This window comes from Homo sapiens, chromosome 8 (genome assembly GCF_000001405.40).
Source record: "Homo sapiens chromosome 8, GRCh38.p14 Primary Assembly".
Lineage (NCBI taxonomy): Eukaryota > Metazoa > Chordata > Mammalia > Primates > Hominidae > Homo > Homo sapiens.
In genome coordinates, this window is record NC_000008.11 from 66,102,682 (window position 1) to 66,121,162 (window position 18,481).

The following is an 18,481-nucleotide window of genomic DNA, read 5'->3' on the forward strand; positions in this document are numbered from 1 at the left end:
TGATCTCGAACTCCTGACCTCAGGTGATCTACCCGCCTAGGCTTCCCAAAGTGCTGGGATTACAGGTGTGAACAACCGTGCCCGGCTACATTGATTAACTTATTAGCATAATAGTTTTATATAAAATGCCTTCATTTCAAAAAAGTTTTTATTGTATTTGGCATGGAAATTATTTTTTTAAATCAATGTGTAACATACTAGAAAATCAGCTACCAAAACTTGAAAGATACATGTTATTCTGAGTCAAAGGGTAAAGTTTTAACAAAATAAAATGAGTTACCTTCCTACTCACATTCTGCATTTCTTAGCTCTCTCTTTTACCTCTTCCCTTAGCATCCCATCCCCCAAAATAGAGGATTTGAAAGTGTTGGCCTTAGGCTCATAAGTGCATTTACTTGTATTTGAGAAAGATGATTTATTCTTTCACAAATTAAAAATAAAATTTCTAAGAGAATAATAACCAAGAGTCGTAGTGCTTAGTACCTGACACTGCCCTAAGAGCTTTATATTGATTCATTTAATACAACAACCTGTGAGAGAAGTACTGTCACCATCATCATCTGTCATTTTCTAGACTATGTAACTGGAACACAGAAAAGATAAGTAACTTGGCTAAGAACACCTAGCTATGGAGTAGAGCAGGCTGGTCCTGAGGCCACAATATTAACAGCTGCACTATATAGCCTCTCCAGGATGACCTTGTGTTTCCAACTACATTTGTTCTTGAACATGAATCCTAGTCTCTTCCCCACTCCCCATCCAACTCTTTCCCAGAGTTCTCTGACTTTCAAGAGAATATACTCACTGTGTCACTCCCTTTATTAACTACCTTTCTCTTCAACTGCCCTTTGCAGCTCAAGGAGATTCCCCTAAGAAATCTTCCTTGTTAATTCCCTGTGACTTCCTCAAGAGCAAATCTGAAGGCTTCCTATATCTCTTACTTCACTCCCACTCCTTCCCCTTCCCCTTTTTCTTCCTCTCCCCGCTCCCCGCCACCCCAGCACTTCCTTATTTGGGAGATCTCTGTGGTCTTAGCAGCTATGTCTTTACCACCTTCTCTTCTCTGACTAACCCATAACTGCAACCCTAATCAAGTGAAAAGTTGGATTTTTAAAAAATTTTCAAAGTGATTCTAGAGCAGCTGGTTCTAATAATTGTGATTTTAAAAATTCTGATACATAACTTCCTGACATAATTTTCCAGGATGTTTAGATAGTGCCGAGAAAACTTTTAAAGATAAAATAGCAAACATATGTTGTGCTTACTATGTGCCAGACACGATTCTAGCTGCTTAATATAAGTTAACTCATGTAATTCACACAGCAACCCTATGAGGTAGGCACAATTACTATTTCCCATTTCACAGATGGGAAAATTGGGCAGCAGAGAGTCATTAATTAACTCAGGCTGTTAATAATGGGAGAGCCAGCATTTGAACTCAGCTAGTCTGGTTGTAGCATCTGTCTGCTTAATTACTATGCCACCTTGGTGCCCTAAGACATATCTGAATTCTGTAAACTTGGATTTACAACTGCTTATTTAATGTCAAAATAGTGTATACATTGAGTATGTTCTAATTTGTCCCTCTCACCAAAAGTGGATACCATAAGCTTATAAATCCAAGTTAATACAATTTGCTCTATTATTCTGAGTCCATAAGATTGGGGTGGGAACATTTGTTACTATATATAAAAATAAGGCATCTTAATATCACTCATACAATTAGAAGTAAAATATTTTCATGTTATCCATTCATAATAAAAGTGAAATTCTACCCAATTTCTCCATTGTACAAAATATGATACAAATTATGAAGTAAAAATATACCATTGAATCTGCCAGACTACTAAATTAGCAATGCTTTATTATTTTTCATAGTATTATACAAAGGAAATACAATTTGCAAATTTTTAAAAAGAACTTTGTTGCCATTTAAAATAAAGAACGTGTGTATGTTCATGTGTATGAATACATTTGTGTGTGTATATGTGTATGAATATATGTGTGTGGTGTGTGCATGTGTGTATATATACATAGATGTCTATATACCATAAGCAATTTATTTTGCTTCCGGTCATCTGTGTCATTTTGCCATTATAGGAAGCACAACACCTGCCACACTCCTGCTCTACTGTGCTTTATTTTTCTCTTTGGCATTCATTACTGTACAGCCTACTGTATATATTATTTATTGTCTTCTTATTGTCTATTTACCCTTCCAGAATGTGTGCTTCACCAAGATAGAGATTTCTGTCTGCTTTGCTTACTGCTGTATCCTTATCCTCAGCTCTAGAACAATGCCTAGCACATAGTACAGACTAAATAAACATTTAAATAAAAGAATAAATGTGAGTCTCTGAAGAAAACCTCCTGGCCACACCCTCCCACCACCACCAATCATACCTTTCGGAAAGATGCTGTATGAGCAAGATGATGCTCCCACTTCCCCGAGCATGGAAGACTGCAAGTGAGCTTTCAGGACTTACAGAGCCCTGGGAATGAGATGGGTTGGCCTTGCCATCTCCCAGTAGTACAAATGTTAACCCCCTTCAAAGGGGAGGTAGGCTGGGGCTTGGTCTCATTAAATATCTTTTGATGTAGTGATTTGGCATATAATTCAGGATTGCATTTGGGTGAATAATGCAGTCAATCTTCATTCCATATTTGTGGAGTTACCTACCTAGAAGAGGACAAACTTTCTTTACACAAACTGTAGGGGAGGAAATACTTCCTTCTGTCATCTTAGGTTCTGTGGCTGGGCCTAAGAATTAAACGATAATAGCATAAAACATATTAACAGGAGAAAAGCATACGCATCTTATTTAATATTTATATGTCCATGGAAGTCTTTATAAGAAAAATGAAGACCCAAAGAAGACATTAGGTCCAAAAGCTTAAGTACCTTTTTAAACAAAGAATGATAAATATTAGGGATGTGGCAAGACAAAGGGGCTTGGTCTGGGTATAGTAGACTGTGGGGTTGTGAGTGGCCAGGGGCATTGTTCAATATCAAAGAATTTTTTTAAAAGATAGTACCTTACTGGCAAGGTACTTCCTGACTTCAAGGATAAAGCATGGATGGAAGCAATCCAGAGAAAGGGTTCTCATTGTCCAGGCCTTCTTGTTGTGCAACCAAAAGACTGGCTGCTGGTGTTTTATCTTTTTCCTTCAAGGCTTGGTTGTTAGCAGCTTCACAGATAAGGGCAGTCTGACTCATAAACCCAATGGCGTTTGCACAAAACAGTAGAGGTAGCCTATCCCTTCCTGCCTTAAATCTTGGGGCTCACTTCTCATCCCTACTAATACATGTCCTTTGTGACATTTTTTTTTCCCAGAATAGGGCATTGTCATCTGCATTAAATACCATTCAGGCAGATCTCTTTTCTCCTCAATGATTTTCTTAATGACATCCAGAAATTCACCTGCTGCCTCTTGGTCAGGAAGCTGCTCTTGTTATCTTGACATTTTTAAAGCCAAAACTGCTTTCTAAAATTATCAAACCTTCCTTTGCTGGCATTAAATTCTCCAGCTTTAGACCCTTCCCCTTCCTTTTGCCTTAAGTTGTCATATAATGACTTTGTTTTTTCTGGAATTATATTAGAGTCTATAGGTATGTCTTTCTTAGAGCAATTCCGTACCCATGTAAAAGCTGCATTTTCAATACAAGATAAAGAGGTTTTTGGCAAAACGTGCAAGGGTTTCATGCCTGCTAGCCAGCTGTAGTGACGGCTTCACAAAGGTCCTTACACTGGATTCATTTATCTTGAAATGCCTGGCAACCACAGCTGTAGACCTCAATCTATGGTCCATATTAAGCAATTCAACTTTTTCTTTTTGGATCAAGACTTTTCTCTGCTTCTTGGGAGCATATCCAGCATCATGAGTGGCACTTCGTATGGGTCCTGTGGTGTTATTCAAGGTTTGTGGTATTTCACTACAATTAAAAAATCCTCGAGACCCACAAGAGATCACTTTTTACTGCCACAGGCAATTTGCTGGAGAGACAAACTGCTCATAGGGAGATTATTAAAGTCACGTACATGGCATTTTAAGCAGATATTCGAAATACTTGAGGTCACCACAGTAGCAATGGGAGGTGGCTATGAAATTATCACAGTAGTACAGTATGTACTATGGTTAATTTTATGCAGCTGTGATTTAATATTGCATCTTTATGTTTATTCACATTTCTTTTAACTGTGCATGGTGCCATGTACAATTTGGGTTTGTATAAGTTTTGAGAAATTTTAACTTCTTAAAATTTTATGGTAATACATGACAAAATAGACTACTATCTACATATATTTCATGCATTCATGATATACCTTTGTCTTAATTTTTTAATATTTGTAGGCTATTTGGCTCATGTCAAGTTTTTTCAAATTGTTGCAGATCTCCAAAAAAATTTCCAATATATTCATTGAAAAAAATCTATGTATGAATGGACCTACCCAGTTTAAATTCTTGTTTTTCAAGGATCAACTGTATTAAATAAGGTGTCCTTCAACAGAAACACACATAAAACAAGATTATCCATTGATCAGTTGACAAAAACATTATGGCCAGAGCCTCCGTTTATTTCCCCTGGGAGCAATGTTTTCAGCATTCACTAAATCAGAGTTCAAAATGACTTTATACAATGTAATTACACGAATAATGAGAATCAAGTGTACCTTCCCTGGAATTCCCCAGAATAGTTCCCTTTCTGACCTAGAAACAACATCTCTGTGGTTTCTCACAAATATCCTTCTTGGAGATGGTGCATATTTAGAGAAAACCATGGATAAGTCAGTAAGCCTGAATACAGCCTTGCTCCCCTAATCTGGATGGTCATCCTAAAGACATTGTTTAATCTTTCTGGGTAGAGCTTCCTGATCTGTAGAATGGTTTCCTTGACTGAAAGGAAAAACTTGAAAGCTCTTTAGTGCACATATGTCTAAGGAATAATTTTTCAAATAAACAATGGCTTTTTTTTTTCACATTTCACGGAGTCTTGACACACCTCCTTGGAGCACTGCTGTTAACAAATTTAAGGGATTTCACCTTTGGATTTAGAGGTGAGAAGAGAATAACCTTTAATAGATGAAACGCTTTTCTACTCCCAGAATGTCCATTTTCTGACCGTACTGGCATCAGAACCTGCCTTTCAACCTCCTTCCTCCCAGAGTAGCAGCTGCCAGCCCAATATCCCTAACCCAAGTGTCCATCTGAGGACAGAGAGACCAAGCAGTGCTACAGAAAGCCCTGGCTGTGATTCAGGAGGCCTAAGATCTCATATGCCACTTCTCCCCTCTGTTACCTTGGATAAGTCATTTCACATATTTGGGCCTCAGTTTCTTCATTCTTAAGCAATTTTTATTACAGAATATCTATAATTAGATGACAATTATGGGACACTCTGACCCATACGTGTTATGTAAAATAACTTACATATGGTTAAACAAAAATGTAATGATGTCAAAAAATGCAGAAACAAAAGCAAATTTCTTCACCATCCCCATATAGTTTGTTAGGGCTATCATAACAAAATATCACAGACTGGGTGGCTTTTAAAAAGATAAATTTGTTTTCTCACACTTCTAGAGGCTAGAAGTCTAAGCTCAAGGTATTGGCAGGTTTGGTTTCTTCTGAGACCTCTCTCCGTGGCTTGTAGATGGCCGTCTTCTCCCTGCGTCTTCCTGTAGCCTTCTCTCTATGCATGCATGTGCCTGCTGTCTCTGTATTCTGTTCTCCTTATAAGGACACCAGTTGTATTGGATCAGGGTGCACCCTAATGACCTCATTTTTGCTTAATTACCTCTTTAAAGGCCTTATCTCCAAATACAGTCACATTCTGAAGTACTAGGGGTTAGGTCTTCAACAAATAAATTGGGGTGGGGAGGGAAGACAGAACACAATTCAGCCCAACAACAAGCATGCCATCAATTTCTCAAAATTGTGCCATATTTCAGTTTGCTTTATATTTGAACCACGTATTTTTTATAAAGTTTTTTTTTGTTTTTTTGTTTTTTTTAGAAATCCCTGAGTATCTTCGTTCTGTCTTTTTGAGAAAAGTGACATGTGCCTTTATCATATCTCTAAGGTCTCCCAGATCCTTAATCACACTACTATTGTAAAAGAATCCGCTTCTTTTTGAAAAATAAACTTCCCAGAGCCCTCTAACTTTTTTTTCCTCCCCTTAATTTGTCCTGATTGCTTTCTTTGCCAGCTGCATCACTGTCAACCTGAGATTTTCTTTTCATTGAGTCCCTGGGTTGGTTTCCTTTTTTCTTAAATCCTGTGTACTCCTCCTTCTTGGATTCTTACTTTGCTTTGCTGAAGTACATCCATGGCATACACAGAGACATGCTGCTAGACTGCCTTTCAAGAAAGAACTCACTGCCCAGCTGCAAGGAGGATGGTTAACTAGTAGCCATCAGGTGTTAACTCCTCTAGCCAAGGTTCTAAGCCTCTGGCCAATGACTGAGCAAGGTGGTGATGCTAGGGCCCCACCATTTCTGCCCAACTTGAGACTCCTCCAAAAGGAAATCTTTGCTCTGGAGCCACCAAGAGGGTTGGCAGAAACTTTGTCGGGTCTGCATCACTGTCTAATGACTACCCCTACCCAATCCTGTGTCCTCCCCTTTTCCATTCACAGATGTTACTCCCCTGTAAAATGTTGTGCTCTAATTCTGCATGAGCTTCAGCTTACTGGAGAACCCATCCAGTACAACATCCTCAAATAATGTTTACTTACTTTTTATTTGTTTCAGAGAGGAATCATAGATTTAAACTTTATGAGACCTTGCAACTATGAACTATTAGTCCTCATATGTGATTGCTACTTTGATTGGCATACAATTCTAGGCTTAAAATTATTTCTTTGCAGAGCTTTGAAGGCCATGCTCAACTGTCTTCTAGCATCCAGTAATGATGATGAGAAGTCTGATCATAATCCAATTCTTATTCCTTTGTAGCTAGCCTAGTTCTTGTTTAGATTTTGCTTTGTTTTCCTCCATCTCTGAAAGTTACAGGGTTTCATCTTTATCCTCAATGCTTTTGAATGTCACTAGGCTGTGTCCAGGCATGGTTATTTTTCATTCATCCTAACTTGCATGATCCTTTCCATCTGATGACCAATGTCTTTCTTTTATTCTTACCCCTGCATTGTCTCTGTTTTCTCTTTCTGGAGCTCATATTAGATACTCTTTATGTCTTCAGGATCTATCTTTTCTTTTTTTTTTCTTTTCTATCTTTTTTTTGGTGTGTGTGTGTGTGTGTGTGTGTGTGTGTGTGTGTGTGTATAACCAGATCTCACTCTGTCCCAGGAGCTGGAGTGCAATGGTGCAATCAATCATAGCCCGCAGCAGCTTTGAACTCCTGGGCTCAAGAGATCCTTCTGCCTCAGCCTCCCAAGTAGCTGGGACTACAGGTAAACACCACCATGTCTAGCTAATTTTCGTATCTTTTGTAGAGATGGGGGTCTTGCTTTGTTGCCCAGGCTGGTCCCAAACTCTTAGCTTCAAGCAATCCTCCCGCCCTGGCCTCCCAAAGTACTGGAATGACAGGGGTGAGCCACTGTACCCAGTGTCATGTTTTTATTTTTTGCTTTCCATGGTCTGATGTCCTGGGATATATTTTCCATTCTATCTTCTATATCTTCATAGCTGATCTTTAGCCATGACCAGTATGTTACTTTTCACCTTAGCAATCATACTTTTAGTATTCAGGAACTCTCTTCTTCCCTAGTTGCTCCTGTTAATATCACTGTATTTTGGTTTTCATTGCTGTAACTCTCTCTTGGATGTCCTTGAGGATATCCCTAACTACTTTTTTGTTAAATAGTTCTGTTCTATTCTTTGCATTATTTGTTTTCTCCTCGGTCATTTATTTAACTTGTTCATCTTGGACTTTCTTTTTGAAGTTGTTGTTATTTCCTCCCAAATGTCTGGTAAACATAACGTGTCCTTCATGATACATTGCTATCTGTAAAAATGGCTGTGTCCTGCGGACTATCAGGCTTTGCATTTATGGTGCATGAGTGGAGAACAGCCATGCTGGCCCAAGATCCTCCAACCTGCCAACTCAAGAAAGAACTCGCTCTGAGAGTTGGGTACGGTGGCCTTCCTGTTCCTTCCATCTCTATTAGGCTCTACTCTGCCCTACTCCCTAGCCCTATACCACTCCACAGGCTCTAGTCTGGCAAATCTACTCTACTTAAGCCATTCTCCAGTGGGATCTCCCTGGCAAAAAATTCAGCAACGGCTGCACAACATTGTGGGCGGCTGACCTCTGTGCTGCTGCCTCTGTGCGTGGAGTCTCTTGTGAGCTCCATGGGGAGAATGGTTTTGTCTCTGCTAGCTTACAGAATGTGCATTTGGAGCTGTGTTTTTCTCCATTATAATCTCATTTGATTTTCACCTTGTAGAAGTTATTTAAAATCTCTATTTGTTACTTATACCTACTGTAGTTTTCCATGTTGCAATAGATTTTTTTTCTTTTGTGTATTTTTATCATCTTTTCAATGTACTCCTGGGGAGGAAGGGGTATAGTCGTATGCGCCCAACCTTCATACATGTAATCCTGATCCCTGGACACAGTGGGTGAGCACCTAAGTGAGGCCAAGAATAATGGAGAGTTTTGCAGTCAGGCCTGAGAAAGAGAAGTGACTCTCTGTGTGATAGACTGTGAAGAATAAAGCTCCAGAACTTTTAGGGTGGGGGACAGCACCATGTTTCCAACTGTGTGCACTAGAGCAGAGCTGAGAAACACTGAGAGAGAAACCTTTAAGAAGGCCTAGTTACATTTCATCTCTGCTTTCCTGGGGACACCCCTGTATCATTAAAATAAATGTCTTGCTTATACTAACTCTTGTGAATTTCTGTCACTTACAAGTAAGAAGGCCAAAAATCACACGTTTGGCCTCCCTGAAACCTATTACTCAAGTAAGGTTGGCTGTTGGGGAAGAGGGCTTGGCTAGGTATGGTAGCTCGTGCCTTAATCCCAGCACTTTGGGAGGCTGAGGCGGGAAGATCACTTGAAGCCAGGAGTTCAAGACCAGCCTGGGCAACAAAGCCAGAGCCAGGTGAGGTGGCACATGCCTGTAATTCCAGGAGGCTGAGGCAGGAGAAGCACTTGAGCTCAGAAGTTTGAGGCTGCAGTGAGCTATGATGGCATCACTGCACCCCAACCTGGGTAACAAAGCAAGACTCTGTTTCTAAAAAATAATGAAAATAATAATTTAATAAACACCCTGCTCGCCACCTTTGTAAAATAAGGAGAAGGTAGGACTAAAAGGAGGCACTTTTCTCTTAGCCTGATTTTCATGGTTCTGTCCACAAACTTGAGCCAGAGGGGTACAACTCACCTCCCCCACCTCTCAGAGGTCATTTTCTCAAACTCTCAGAAATGCTGTATAACTTTAAAGATACGTCGGCTTGTTACATGCAAAAATGGCAAAATGTTCACCAGGAAACAAAAATAATCTCATGTTTGTGCAGTCTTAAGGAAGCCGCTTTCCCACTTAAAAATCCAGCCCTTTTCTTTTCTCTAACTTCGTATTTTATCTTCCCTAATTTTACATTTTATTAAAGCTTTTACTTTTGGGAACTGCTATCTTACAGGGGAGATTTAAGAAATAATTCCAATCTCCCTTCCACAAATATTACTATAATAACATTAAAATAGAAACTCAGTTTGCCCAAACCAACATGATGCCTTCTTGGTTAAAAGATCTCTAAGGGCAAAACCCAGGTCGTTGGATGGTTTTTACGCTACGCTAACAACTGAGTGGGAATATGGCAGCAAACCTTAACAATTTATAAACGCTATGACCTTACAAAAATAGGCCGACGAAGCAGGATTATAAGCCTATCTGGGATTGAATAACTTTTTAAAATTAAACATAAAATAGGAACCAGATCAAAAAGACATTCTATGTGATCTTCTTCCCTCTCTTTGCTTAGCCGGGGGTTGGTGAGGGGACTTTCTCTAGGAACTTAGTGACTCTGATGTCTTAGTAGATGCGGTGGAACCAGCTCTGTCTACAGAACCCCGGGCTTCAGTGGCGTCTTCCTAACCCGGCTTGCCTGCCGGGGGCGTTCCGAGACCCTCGGGGCCTTCCCTTCACCCCGCGGGAGTTGGACCGGTGGCGCTGGTAAGGCCTCCCGGGCTCAAAGTGCAACGGACACTGCAGAAATCCAAACTGCTGGCATTCGCGGTTTGGGGACGCCAGAGGAGGTAATGATTTCTGGTTTGTTAACCTCAAGTGACAATAATGCCGAGCCAGGCAGGAGCTGGACCTACAATCTTCTGATGCGTGGTCAGACACGTTATCCCTTGCGCCACTGGCCTACCACGCTACTCCTTCAGTCGCCGTTGGATTACTGTGTGTTGAGAACACACTCGGCAACCACTTTAAAGGACAACGCAGGCTGGTAAAGGAAAAGTACGACAAGGGGGGGCGGTGGAATCGCAGGGTCTTGGCATCGCGGACCCCAGACACCTGGGTTGAGGGCCTTTCCCGGGTCAGTCAGGCTAGCGAGCCGGAGCGTTCTGTCTTTCTGCGCACGCGTAGAGCACACAGGCCGGCTCTGGGGCTCTGCGCTCCTCGGATTACGCATGCTCAGTGCAATCTTCGGTTGCCTGGACTAGCGCTCCGGTTTTTCTGTGCTGAACCTCAGGGGACGCCGACACACGTACACGTCCCTTCGATAGCTCAGCTGGTAGAGCGGAGGACTGTAGCTACTTCCTCAGCAGGAGACATCCTTAGGTCGCTGGTTCGATTCCGGCTCGAAGGAGACAAGTGCGGTTTTTTTCTCCAGCTCCCGATGACTTATGGCACTTTCCTTGGGTGCCTTCAGTGACACATTGCATTCCAACGAGCAGTTTGAAAGTCTAGCGCTTTCTCCCCATTTTGGGCCTCCCAGCCTGCACGGTAATTCTTTTTAGCCATTCGCCCTGCGGGAACGTGTCCGGGCAGGTTCCCAGCGCAGCTGTGGGTCTGCGCTTGGCCGAGCGACTGCCGGGTCACGACTTCTGCGTCTTCTTAACCCGTCTTTGGCATTGCCCGGGCCCCGAGTCACACAGGAGGCAGCGCCGGCTCCAGGGGGCCAGGCGGGGACCTTCTCCTCAGAGCCCCGGGCAGCTTCTGCGACCCGAGGGCTCGCAACGGCTGCCGTGAGGAGGTGGGGGGTCCGCGGGAAGAGGTATCTGGCGCTCCCGGAACCTGGGAATCAGAAAGAGAGAACACAATACTAAAAACACGAAGCCTAAAAATGACACAATGTTATGGAGACAAGGCGGCACCCGGGAAGCTGTGCCCGCTCCCTTCGATAGCTCAGCTGGTAGAGCGGAGGACTGTAGGCGCGCGCCCGTGGCCATCCTTAGGTCGCTGGTTCGATTCCGGCTCGAAGGAGAGACACCCCCCCCCCCATTATTTTGTTGCTTTGAACCAAAAAAGTCTGTCTTCAGCGCTCAATGTTCTGACCCTTCTCTAAAGGAACAGATAATAAGCCGTGCCCAGCCGTGGGGGATTAGCTCAAATGGTAGAGCGCTCGCTTAGCATGCGAGAGGTAGCGGGATCGATGCCCGCATCCTCCAGTTTTCCTTCCTGTCCCGTACGGTTTTTCTTTCGATTCTCAGCCCAAACTAGAGCTGAAAAGTCAGACGAAGTCAGGTGAAGAGTAGGGCGAGCTCCAGCTTACCACTCTAAAACTTCCCAGACAATGAGTGGTGGGCGCTAGCAGTTTATCCTTCTAGCTTTAAATTTTTAGACCCATTTAATTGGGGGGAAATTCACGAAACTGGTTATTTTTGCTTCAAAAATGGCGACAGATTGCCGTCACATGTATTATCACTCAGAATCCTTTATGATTTGTGATAAGATGTCTGCATTTCCAGGGACTCATCTGAGGCTAAGCTGCCCATAGTTCGGGGAGACCCACAGGGAAAACAAAACAAGAAACAGAGAACTTGGAAACGGACGCTGATTACTTTGAACGTTTGCTCAACCGAGGAAGCAGGAACTGTTCGGCCCCATCTCAAGTCCGCAGGGCGGACTGCCTGGCTCTGGGCAGATCCGAGGTGGATAGGACAAGGCAAAAGGTAGCCCTGGAGAGGTGAGTGGATAAAGTCCCTGGACACAGGGGCTGCCGTTGGAGGAGGTTGTAATGTCATTGTCCTCCTGTGGAAGTTAACTGTGGAGAATTAACTAGAGACCAGCGCTGAGAGAGAATTAATTGGATAAAAGTTCTATCTAGGACAGTCCTTGAGCGTAATTTTGTGAAGCAAACACAAGACAACAACAAAACGAGTAAAACCTAAACACACATCCACACACTCACTGAAAGATTCAGAGATTGCACAGAACACAAAGACTTTTCTGGTAATAAAATCTCCCTATCCTAATTTTCTAGAAAAAAAGCTGTTGAAGCCACCGCGCAGTTCTTACAAGACATAACACAAATCTTCCACACAAAGGCAGAAATACAGTATCAACCTTTGTGAGGAGTACAGCAAATAAATGATGTTTCTTTAGGGTCCTAGGCAACCTGTATGCTTTTGTTACCAGTGTATACAACATGGTATGGTTTATTGCTATCTTTCATTTTCTAGGGTGGTCTCCATTTTTACCTCGTTTTATTATTTTCAATAGTCTTTTAGTTGAATGTATTGTAAATTACTTGAAATATAACATCAGGATGTTCATAAAAACAAATTCACAAAGTAAGAAAAAGAATTATTTTATCAGATGACATGTCCCAGTTTCTAGTTTGGGATTATGGGTGTTCTAGCTGGCTGAGGGGAGGAACTGGCAGTGAAACTTTAAGTGACCGAAAGAGCAAGAAGTAAGTAGTAAGTCAAAGGAATAGGAAGTAATGCGCCCAAAACCCAGTGGAGGACACACGTTTCGGGGAGGTGACCTGGGCCAAAACTCAAAGGATATCTCAGAGTCAGCAACCCAAGCTGGGAATGGAATTCACATACAAAGCTCAAAGGTACAAATCAGGAAGCAGTAATGCATAGTGGTTAGTCAGGCAGGCTGTAAAACCTGATGGCCTTTCTTGGCTTTGCTACTTGTAGCTGCATGACCACAGGCAGGTTGCTTGACATTTCGGTGCTTCAGTGTCTTTGTTTCTCAAGTGGGGATATAATAATGATACCTACTTTTAATTAAGATATAACATGTAAAGGCCTTAGTACAGTGCCTGGCACATAGTAAACACAAAGTAAACATTAGCTGTTATGAGTGTGCAAGGAAAGAAGAAACAGAAACATAAAATGCCATTTCCCTGGCAAACTGTAGAGATTCGGACACATTTCAGCACCTAGAGGCCGGGCAAGCATAGCATCATACAGCGAAGGCCTGGGGGAATTAGTCTAAGGGTTTGTATATGCGTTTATATAAATATATATGGAAGTGCTTGGAAAGAGGTGCTTGGATCTACTGTGTAGGGAAAGTAGGAAGAACAATGCTAAAAATACAATATGATGGTTAGATATATTATGGTATGGCCATGTAACGAAATATATATAGCTCTCAAAATTATATTTATTAAGAACTTATATTGACATGGGAAATGTTAATAATCAAATTCTAAGAAATAAAGTAGGTATAGAGCAATATAAACAAGCATAAGTTATTTATAGAAAAGACTAGAAACAGGTCGGCATGGTGGCTCATGCCTATAATCCCAGCACTTTGAGAGGCCCGGGCAGACAGATCCCTTGAGCTCAGGAGTTCGAGACCAGCCTGGGCAACATGGTGAAACCCTGTCTCTACAAAAAATACAAAAAGTAGCTGCGTGCGGTGGCGTGTACCTGTGATCCCAGCTGCTCGGGAGGGTAAGGTAGGAGGATCTCTTGAACCTGAGAGGTCGAGGCTGCAGTGAGCAGTGATTGCGCCACTGCACTCTAGCTTGGGCGACAGAGGGAGACCCTGTCTCAAAAAAAAAAAAAAGAAAGAAAGAAAAAAGACTGGAAACATGCATTAAAATGTTAACAACAGTAATGATCTCTCATAAAGAGAACACCAGCCCCTGAGGCTTCAGTAGTGAATTCTACCAAACAATTAAGGTAGAAAAAAAATACCAATTATATACAAATTTTTCCAAAAAAACTGATGAAGAGGGAGTACTTTCCAACTCATTCTATGAAGTCTCTGATACCAAAATCAGGCAAAGACATTATAGAAAAAGAAAATTACAGACCAATATAGCTTATGAATGTAGATGCAAAAATTCTCAACAAAATTTTAGCTAAGTAAATCCAACAACATATAAAAAGGAAAATACATTATGACTAAGTGAGATTTATCCCAGGAATACAAGACTGGCTCAACATTCAAATTCATAACATTAAACAGATTAAAGAAAAAAAATCATGTGATCATCTCAGCTGATGCAGAAAAAGCATTTGACCAAAGTCAACATCCATTCCTGCTTTTTAAAACTGTCAGCAAATTTGGAGGGGAAGGGAACTTATTCAACCTGATGAAGGACATAAGTGAAACACATGCAGCTTACCTGATGCTTAATATTAAAGAACAGTGCTTTCCTCCTAAGACCAAGACCAAGGCAAGGGTGTCCATTCTGAGTTTTCAGCTCTTGCCAGGGCAATAAAGCAAAGGAAATGAAGTAAAAGACCTCCACATAGGAAAGGAAGAGGGAAAACTGTCTCTGTACGCACATCTAACTTTTAAACAATATTGGTTACATGTTGAAATGATAATATTTTAGATGTTCTGGGGTTAAGTAAAATACAATAATATTTTTATTTATTTTTAGATTTTTTAAATGTGGCTACTACAAAATTTAAAATCATGTATATGGCTCATATTTGTCACATACATCTTATTTCTCTGGACAGTGCAAGTCGGAGAGATAGGCAAGGGCCAGATCATATCAGGTCTTGGGACCACAGTGAGGATTAATATCTTTATCCTAGAGGTGATGTGACCATTAATAGGTTTTAAATAAGGGGTGACTTGTGAGAAGTGGATTGCAGAAGGCAAGAGTGAATTCAGAGAAATCAGTTAAGAGGGTCGGGTGGAGGAGAAGTGGGGGTGGGTATGGGTGGTGAGGGTGAAACCAACGTTTGGGGTTCAGACATGGGCCATTGGGAAGACCTTGGGCTAAAGTATTCGCTACTTGTTGGGACTGTCGCTGCTTATTTCTGGCACATATGTAATGAGTGTTTCTTATTGCCAAGAAGTGTTCAGAGGAGGCCGGGCACGGTGGCTCAAGCCTGTAATCCCAGCACTTTGGGAGGCCGAGGCGGGTGGATCACGAGATCAGGAGATCGAGCCCATCCTGGCTAACACGGTGAAACCCCATCTCTACTAAAAAATACAAAAAAACTTACCCGGGTGTGGTGGCGGGCCCCTGTAGTCCCAGCTGCTCGGGAGGCTGAAGCAGGAGAATGGCGTGAACCCGGGAGGCGGAGCTTGCAGTGAGCCGAGATCGCGCCACTGCACTCCAGCCTGGGGGACAGAGCGAGACTCCGTCTCAAAAAAAAAAAAAAAAAAAAAAAAAAAGAAGTGTTCAGAGGAAAGTAAAATATGTTTATTTTACTAACATTTCCTCAGAGATCTTTATGATGAAGTAAAATTTATAAACAACAGATTTGAAGAAGGAGTGATTATCAAATGAACAAAAGATTTCAAGCAGAAGTTGGCAAACCATCTAATGAAAGAAATGCCAGTGTTAGCTACTGTTTAGTGCTTTTCAAGTTCATTTCTTTTTGATTTTAGATTTTGTAAGATGTTTCTTTTCATTAAAAATTTAAAAATCACATATGCAAGCTACCTATTGCCAGGTAGACAGCTAAATAGAAAAGACTGATGACACAGGCAGAGGGAAAACATTTAGTATTTTGTAGATGTCATGGGTCAAGTCCTCAGTGCAAAGGGATGGCAAGAATCTTTGTATGGAAAGAGAGTTCTGGGTTATATTTTTTGGAATAACTTTTAAAGTTGTTACATGGAGGGAAATTTCTAAGCCAAATAATGGTTAGAAAGTGCTTTATTTGGGCCACACCCTGAGCTCTAGGATACCAAAGGAAATAACATTATGCCTTCTGTGGTCAGATGGGTTATATCTGGCAGGACTGATAACAGAGCCTGGTGCTTGGAACACCAGCTCATTGAAATCCCAGATGAAGTGTGGCCTTCTCTCCGCTGCTCATGAGTGGTGTTCTCACTAAAAAAGGGAGGGATGGGTGGATGGATGGTTGGATGGATGGATGGACAGGTGGATGCATGCATGCATGTGTGAATATTGCAAGAAAGAATTAACAGCCTCACTGGCTCAGTTTAAGAGGACCTGGTTTGCACAAGATTAAGTGTTGACCTTTGTTTTGGCATGGGATTAAAATAATTTTCAGATTATATTGGTGCTGGAGTTGACCTGAAAGTCTTGGTCCACTGGTGCCCTAGTGCTCCAGCCCAACTAAACTTCCTTCTTCAGCAATCACTGACTCTCTGCCTCCACATCCACATCATCTGATGTTCTTTCCCTGTTTTAATTCTTAGGCAGCCACCCTCTTTCTCACTTCCAGTGGGCACAAGAAAGCAAGAATACTTCCTTTCTACCTTAGAGGCTGAGCCAAGAGTAAGATCAGTCTTCCGACTCCTCTTGTTTTCTCTTTCATCAGGACTGCACTCTCTCTGCTCACTGTTTTGCTTCAAACCATATCGGTTTTTTATTTCCTTTTAGCTGTACTCTCCATCTAACCATAAGTTCTTTGTTCTGTTTGATGAACAAATGGCTCCTTAAACTAAGCCTGGATTATTTTCAAGTACCTGGACTTGCAATTACCTGCACCAAAGAGACAAAAGAGAACATGGGTAAGTGAAATGCCAAGGATGTTCTGGAATCTTCAGGATTCTTTGGGATTTTCTAATGTCTCCCGTTCTCAGAATGCTCTGACCTATTTTGACAGTTACAATGAAGAATCAGTGCTGCTCTTCTGACCATTCTGGGGCGAGTGGGGATTCACATCACTCTAGCCAGAGAGTACAAAATCACCAAAAGACGGTGACCCAGTTCTTGTTGGAGAGTCCTTCATATGCATTTGAATTTGCCCCCAATATTTTTTTATATCTCATGTTCTAGGGCTGGTTGTCTAGTATAATAACCACTATCCACATGTGGACATTTAAATATAAGTTTAAATTAATACAGTTTAAAATTTAGTTTCAGAGCTGCACTGTGCACATTCCAAGTACTCAAGAACCACAAGTGACTAGAGATTGGACACTACAGATATAGAACATTTCCATCATTAGCGGAAATTCTTATGGACAGTGCCCTTCTAAAGCATGGGTGTGGTGCAGCTTAGTGGGTGAGGTCATGGGCTCTGTGCTCAAAAGATGTGTCTCTCAGTGTGCATCACAGTTCAGCAGCCACGTGACTCAGGGCAACTACTTAACTTGCTCAGCCACAGTTGACTCAGTGGAGATAATAATACCTGAGACAGGGAGCTGTGACATGAAGTAATGGGTATTCAGTACATATTTATCATATTTGTTGTAGTGGTATAATAGTAAAAATAATTTTAGCATCCCTTTCCTCTCTTCCCTAGATGAAAAACACACTGAGCTCTTACTATATAATAAAGAACTTAGCTGGTCTTTGTCCCAAGTCCCTGAGTGGGAGCCTCTAAATCCTTAGAATTTCCCGAGTGACAGACATGCCTTTGTTATTCATCGTGGGCCCTGCTAGTTTATGCTAATGAGATAACTATGGACGGGGAAGGGGGGTTGGGGCTAGCCATGTCAGAAAGACCAACCATGAGATGAGAATCTTGGGGCTTTAAGCCATGTGATGTCAGCCCAACCTCCAGGGAGGCAAGGAGAAGCTGAAGATTGAGATCAGTCACAAAGCTAATGATTCCATCAATCATGCCTGCATAATGAAACCCCCATAAGAACTCTGGACACAGAAGCTCGGGTGACCTTCCCTGGTTAACAGCACTCTGTGTGCATTGTTACACATTCGTGTGCCAGGAGGGTGATGCATCCTGACTCCACTGGGAGAGGACATGGAAGTTCACATTTGGGACACCCTGCAACCTTGCCCTATGCATTTCTTCTTTTGGCCGGTCTTAATTTGTATTCTTTTTGGCTCTAATAAAACTGTAATCATAAATATAATGTTTTCCTGAGTTCTGTGAGTCATTCTACCAAACTAAGGGGGTAGTGGGAACCTCCAAATTTGTAGCCAGTTGGTCAGAAGTGCAGGACCTGGGAACCCCAGAGTTTGCTGTTGGTGTCTGAAGTCAGGACAGACCATGCCCTTTACTTGTGAAATTTGGCCTAACTCCAGGTAGGTCATGTCAGAATTCCATTGCAGATCTACATCTCTTTCCTGGGCCCTGGCCCCTGAAAAAGCCTGGTTCCATTTGGCCCGGCAGCTACAGGTTGAAAGAGGTCAAAAGCCTTCTCTTTTTGTTGTTACCCTTCAGCGTCACATCCACTGTTGGGTGCACACTCAGGTTCCTA

The 18,481-nt window shown here is 41.9% G+C and overlaps 1 protein-coding gene and 3 non-coding genes across 4 annotated transcripts in view, besides 7 other annotated features; all 4 read left to right on the plus strand.

Annotated features, from left to right (window-relative positions):
* Nucleotides 9,992-10,041: an enhancer, noted in NCBI's record as "active region_27471". NCBI's record gives its function as "activates an Ori minimal core promoter by ATAC-STARR-seq in GM12878 lymphoblastoid cells {active_cell/tissue: GM12878}" and the evidence as "EXISTENCE:reporter gene assay evidence [ECO:0000049][PMID:35858748]".
* Nucleotides 10,112-10,191: an enhancer, noted in NCBI's record as "active region_27472". NCBI's record gives its function as "activates an Ori minimal core promoter by ATAC-STARR-seq in GM12878 lymphoblastoid cells {active_cell/tissue: GM12878}" and the evidence as "EXISTENCE:reporter gene assay evidence [ECO:0000049][PMID:35858748]".
* Nucleotides 10,357-11,008: an enhancer, noted in NCBI's record as "H3K27ac hESC enhancer chr8:67025273-67025924 (GRCh37/hg19 assembly coordinates)". NCBI's record gives its function as "activates a minimal SCP1, AML or CMV promoter by ChIP-STARR-seq in naive and primed H9 embryonic stem cells {active_cell/tissue: H9 hESC(naive and primed)}" and the evidence as "EXISTENCE:reporter gene assay evidence [ECO:0000049][PMID:30033119]".
* Nucleotides 10,357-11,661: a biological region, named in NCBI's record as "H3K27ac hESC enhancers GRCh37_chr8:67025273-67025924 and GRCh37_chr8:67025925-67026577".
* Nucleotides 10,572-10,621: a silencer, noted in NCBI's record as "silent region_19251". NCBI's record gives its function as "represses an Ori minimal core promoter by ATAC-STARR-seq in GM12878 lymphoblastoid cells {active_cell/tissue: GM12878}" and the evidence as "EXISTENCE:reporter gene assay evidence [ECO:0000049][PMID:35858748]".
* Nucleotides 10,670-18,481, plus strand: part of TRIM55 (tripartite motif containing 55) — a 62,135-nt gene continuing 54,323 nt past the window's right edge. The window contains exons 1-2 of the mRNA XM_011517617.3: nucleotides 10,670-10,915; nucleotides 11,881-12,098. The gene's annotated coding sequence lies outside the window, so the exon portion shown is untranslated. The remainder of the gene's footprint in view (nucleotides 10,916-11,880; nucleotides 12,099-18,481) is intronic.
* TRY-GTA5-1 (tRNA-Tyr (anticodon GTA) 5-1) lies at nucleotides 10,686-10,778 on the plus strand. The gene is made up of 2 exons: nucleotides 10,686-10,722; nucleotides 10,743-10,778. It is a non-coding gene; the product is annotated as a tRNA-Tyr (tRNA).
* Nucleotides 10,732-11,271: an enhancer, noted in NCBI's record as "active region_27473". NCBI's record gives its function as "activates an Ori minimal core promoter by ATAC-STARR-seq in GM12878 lymphoblastoid cells {active_cell/tissue: GM12878}" and the evidence as "EXISTENCE:reporter gene assay evidence [ECO:0000049][PMID:35858748]".
* Nucleotides 11,009-11,661: an enhancer, noted in NCBI's record as "H3K27ac hESC enhancer chr8:67025925-67026577 (GRCh37/hg19 assembly coordinates)". NCBI's record gives its function as "activates a minimal SCP1, AML or CMV promoter by ChIP-STARR-seq in naive and primed H9 embryonic stem cells {active_cell/tissue: H9 hESC(naive and primed)}" and the evidence as "EXISTENCE:reporter gene assay evidence [ECO:0000049][PMID:30033119]".
* Nucleotides 11,307-11,395, plus strand: TRY-GTA5-2 (tRNA-Tyr (anticodon GTA) 5-2). Its single transcript is given in 2 exon segments — nucleotides 11,307-11,343; nucleotides 11,360-11,395. It is a non-coding gene; the product is annotated as a tRNA-Tyr (tRNA).
* Nucleotides 11,508-11,580, plus strand: TRA-AGC8-2 (tRNA-Ala (anticodon AGC) 8-2). Its single transcript has one exon. It is a non-coding gene; the product is annotated as a tRNA-Ala (tRNA).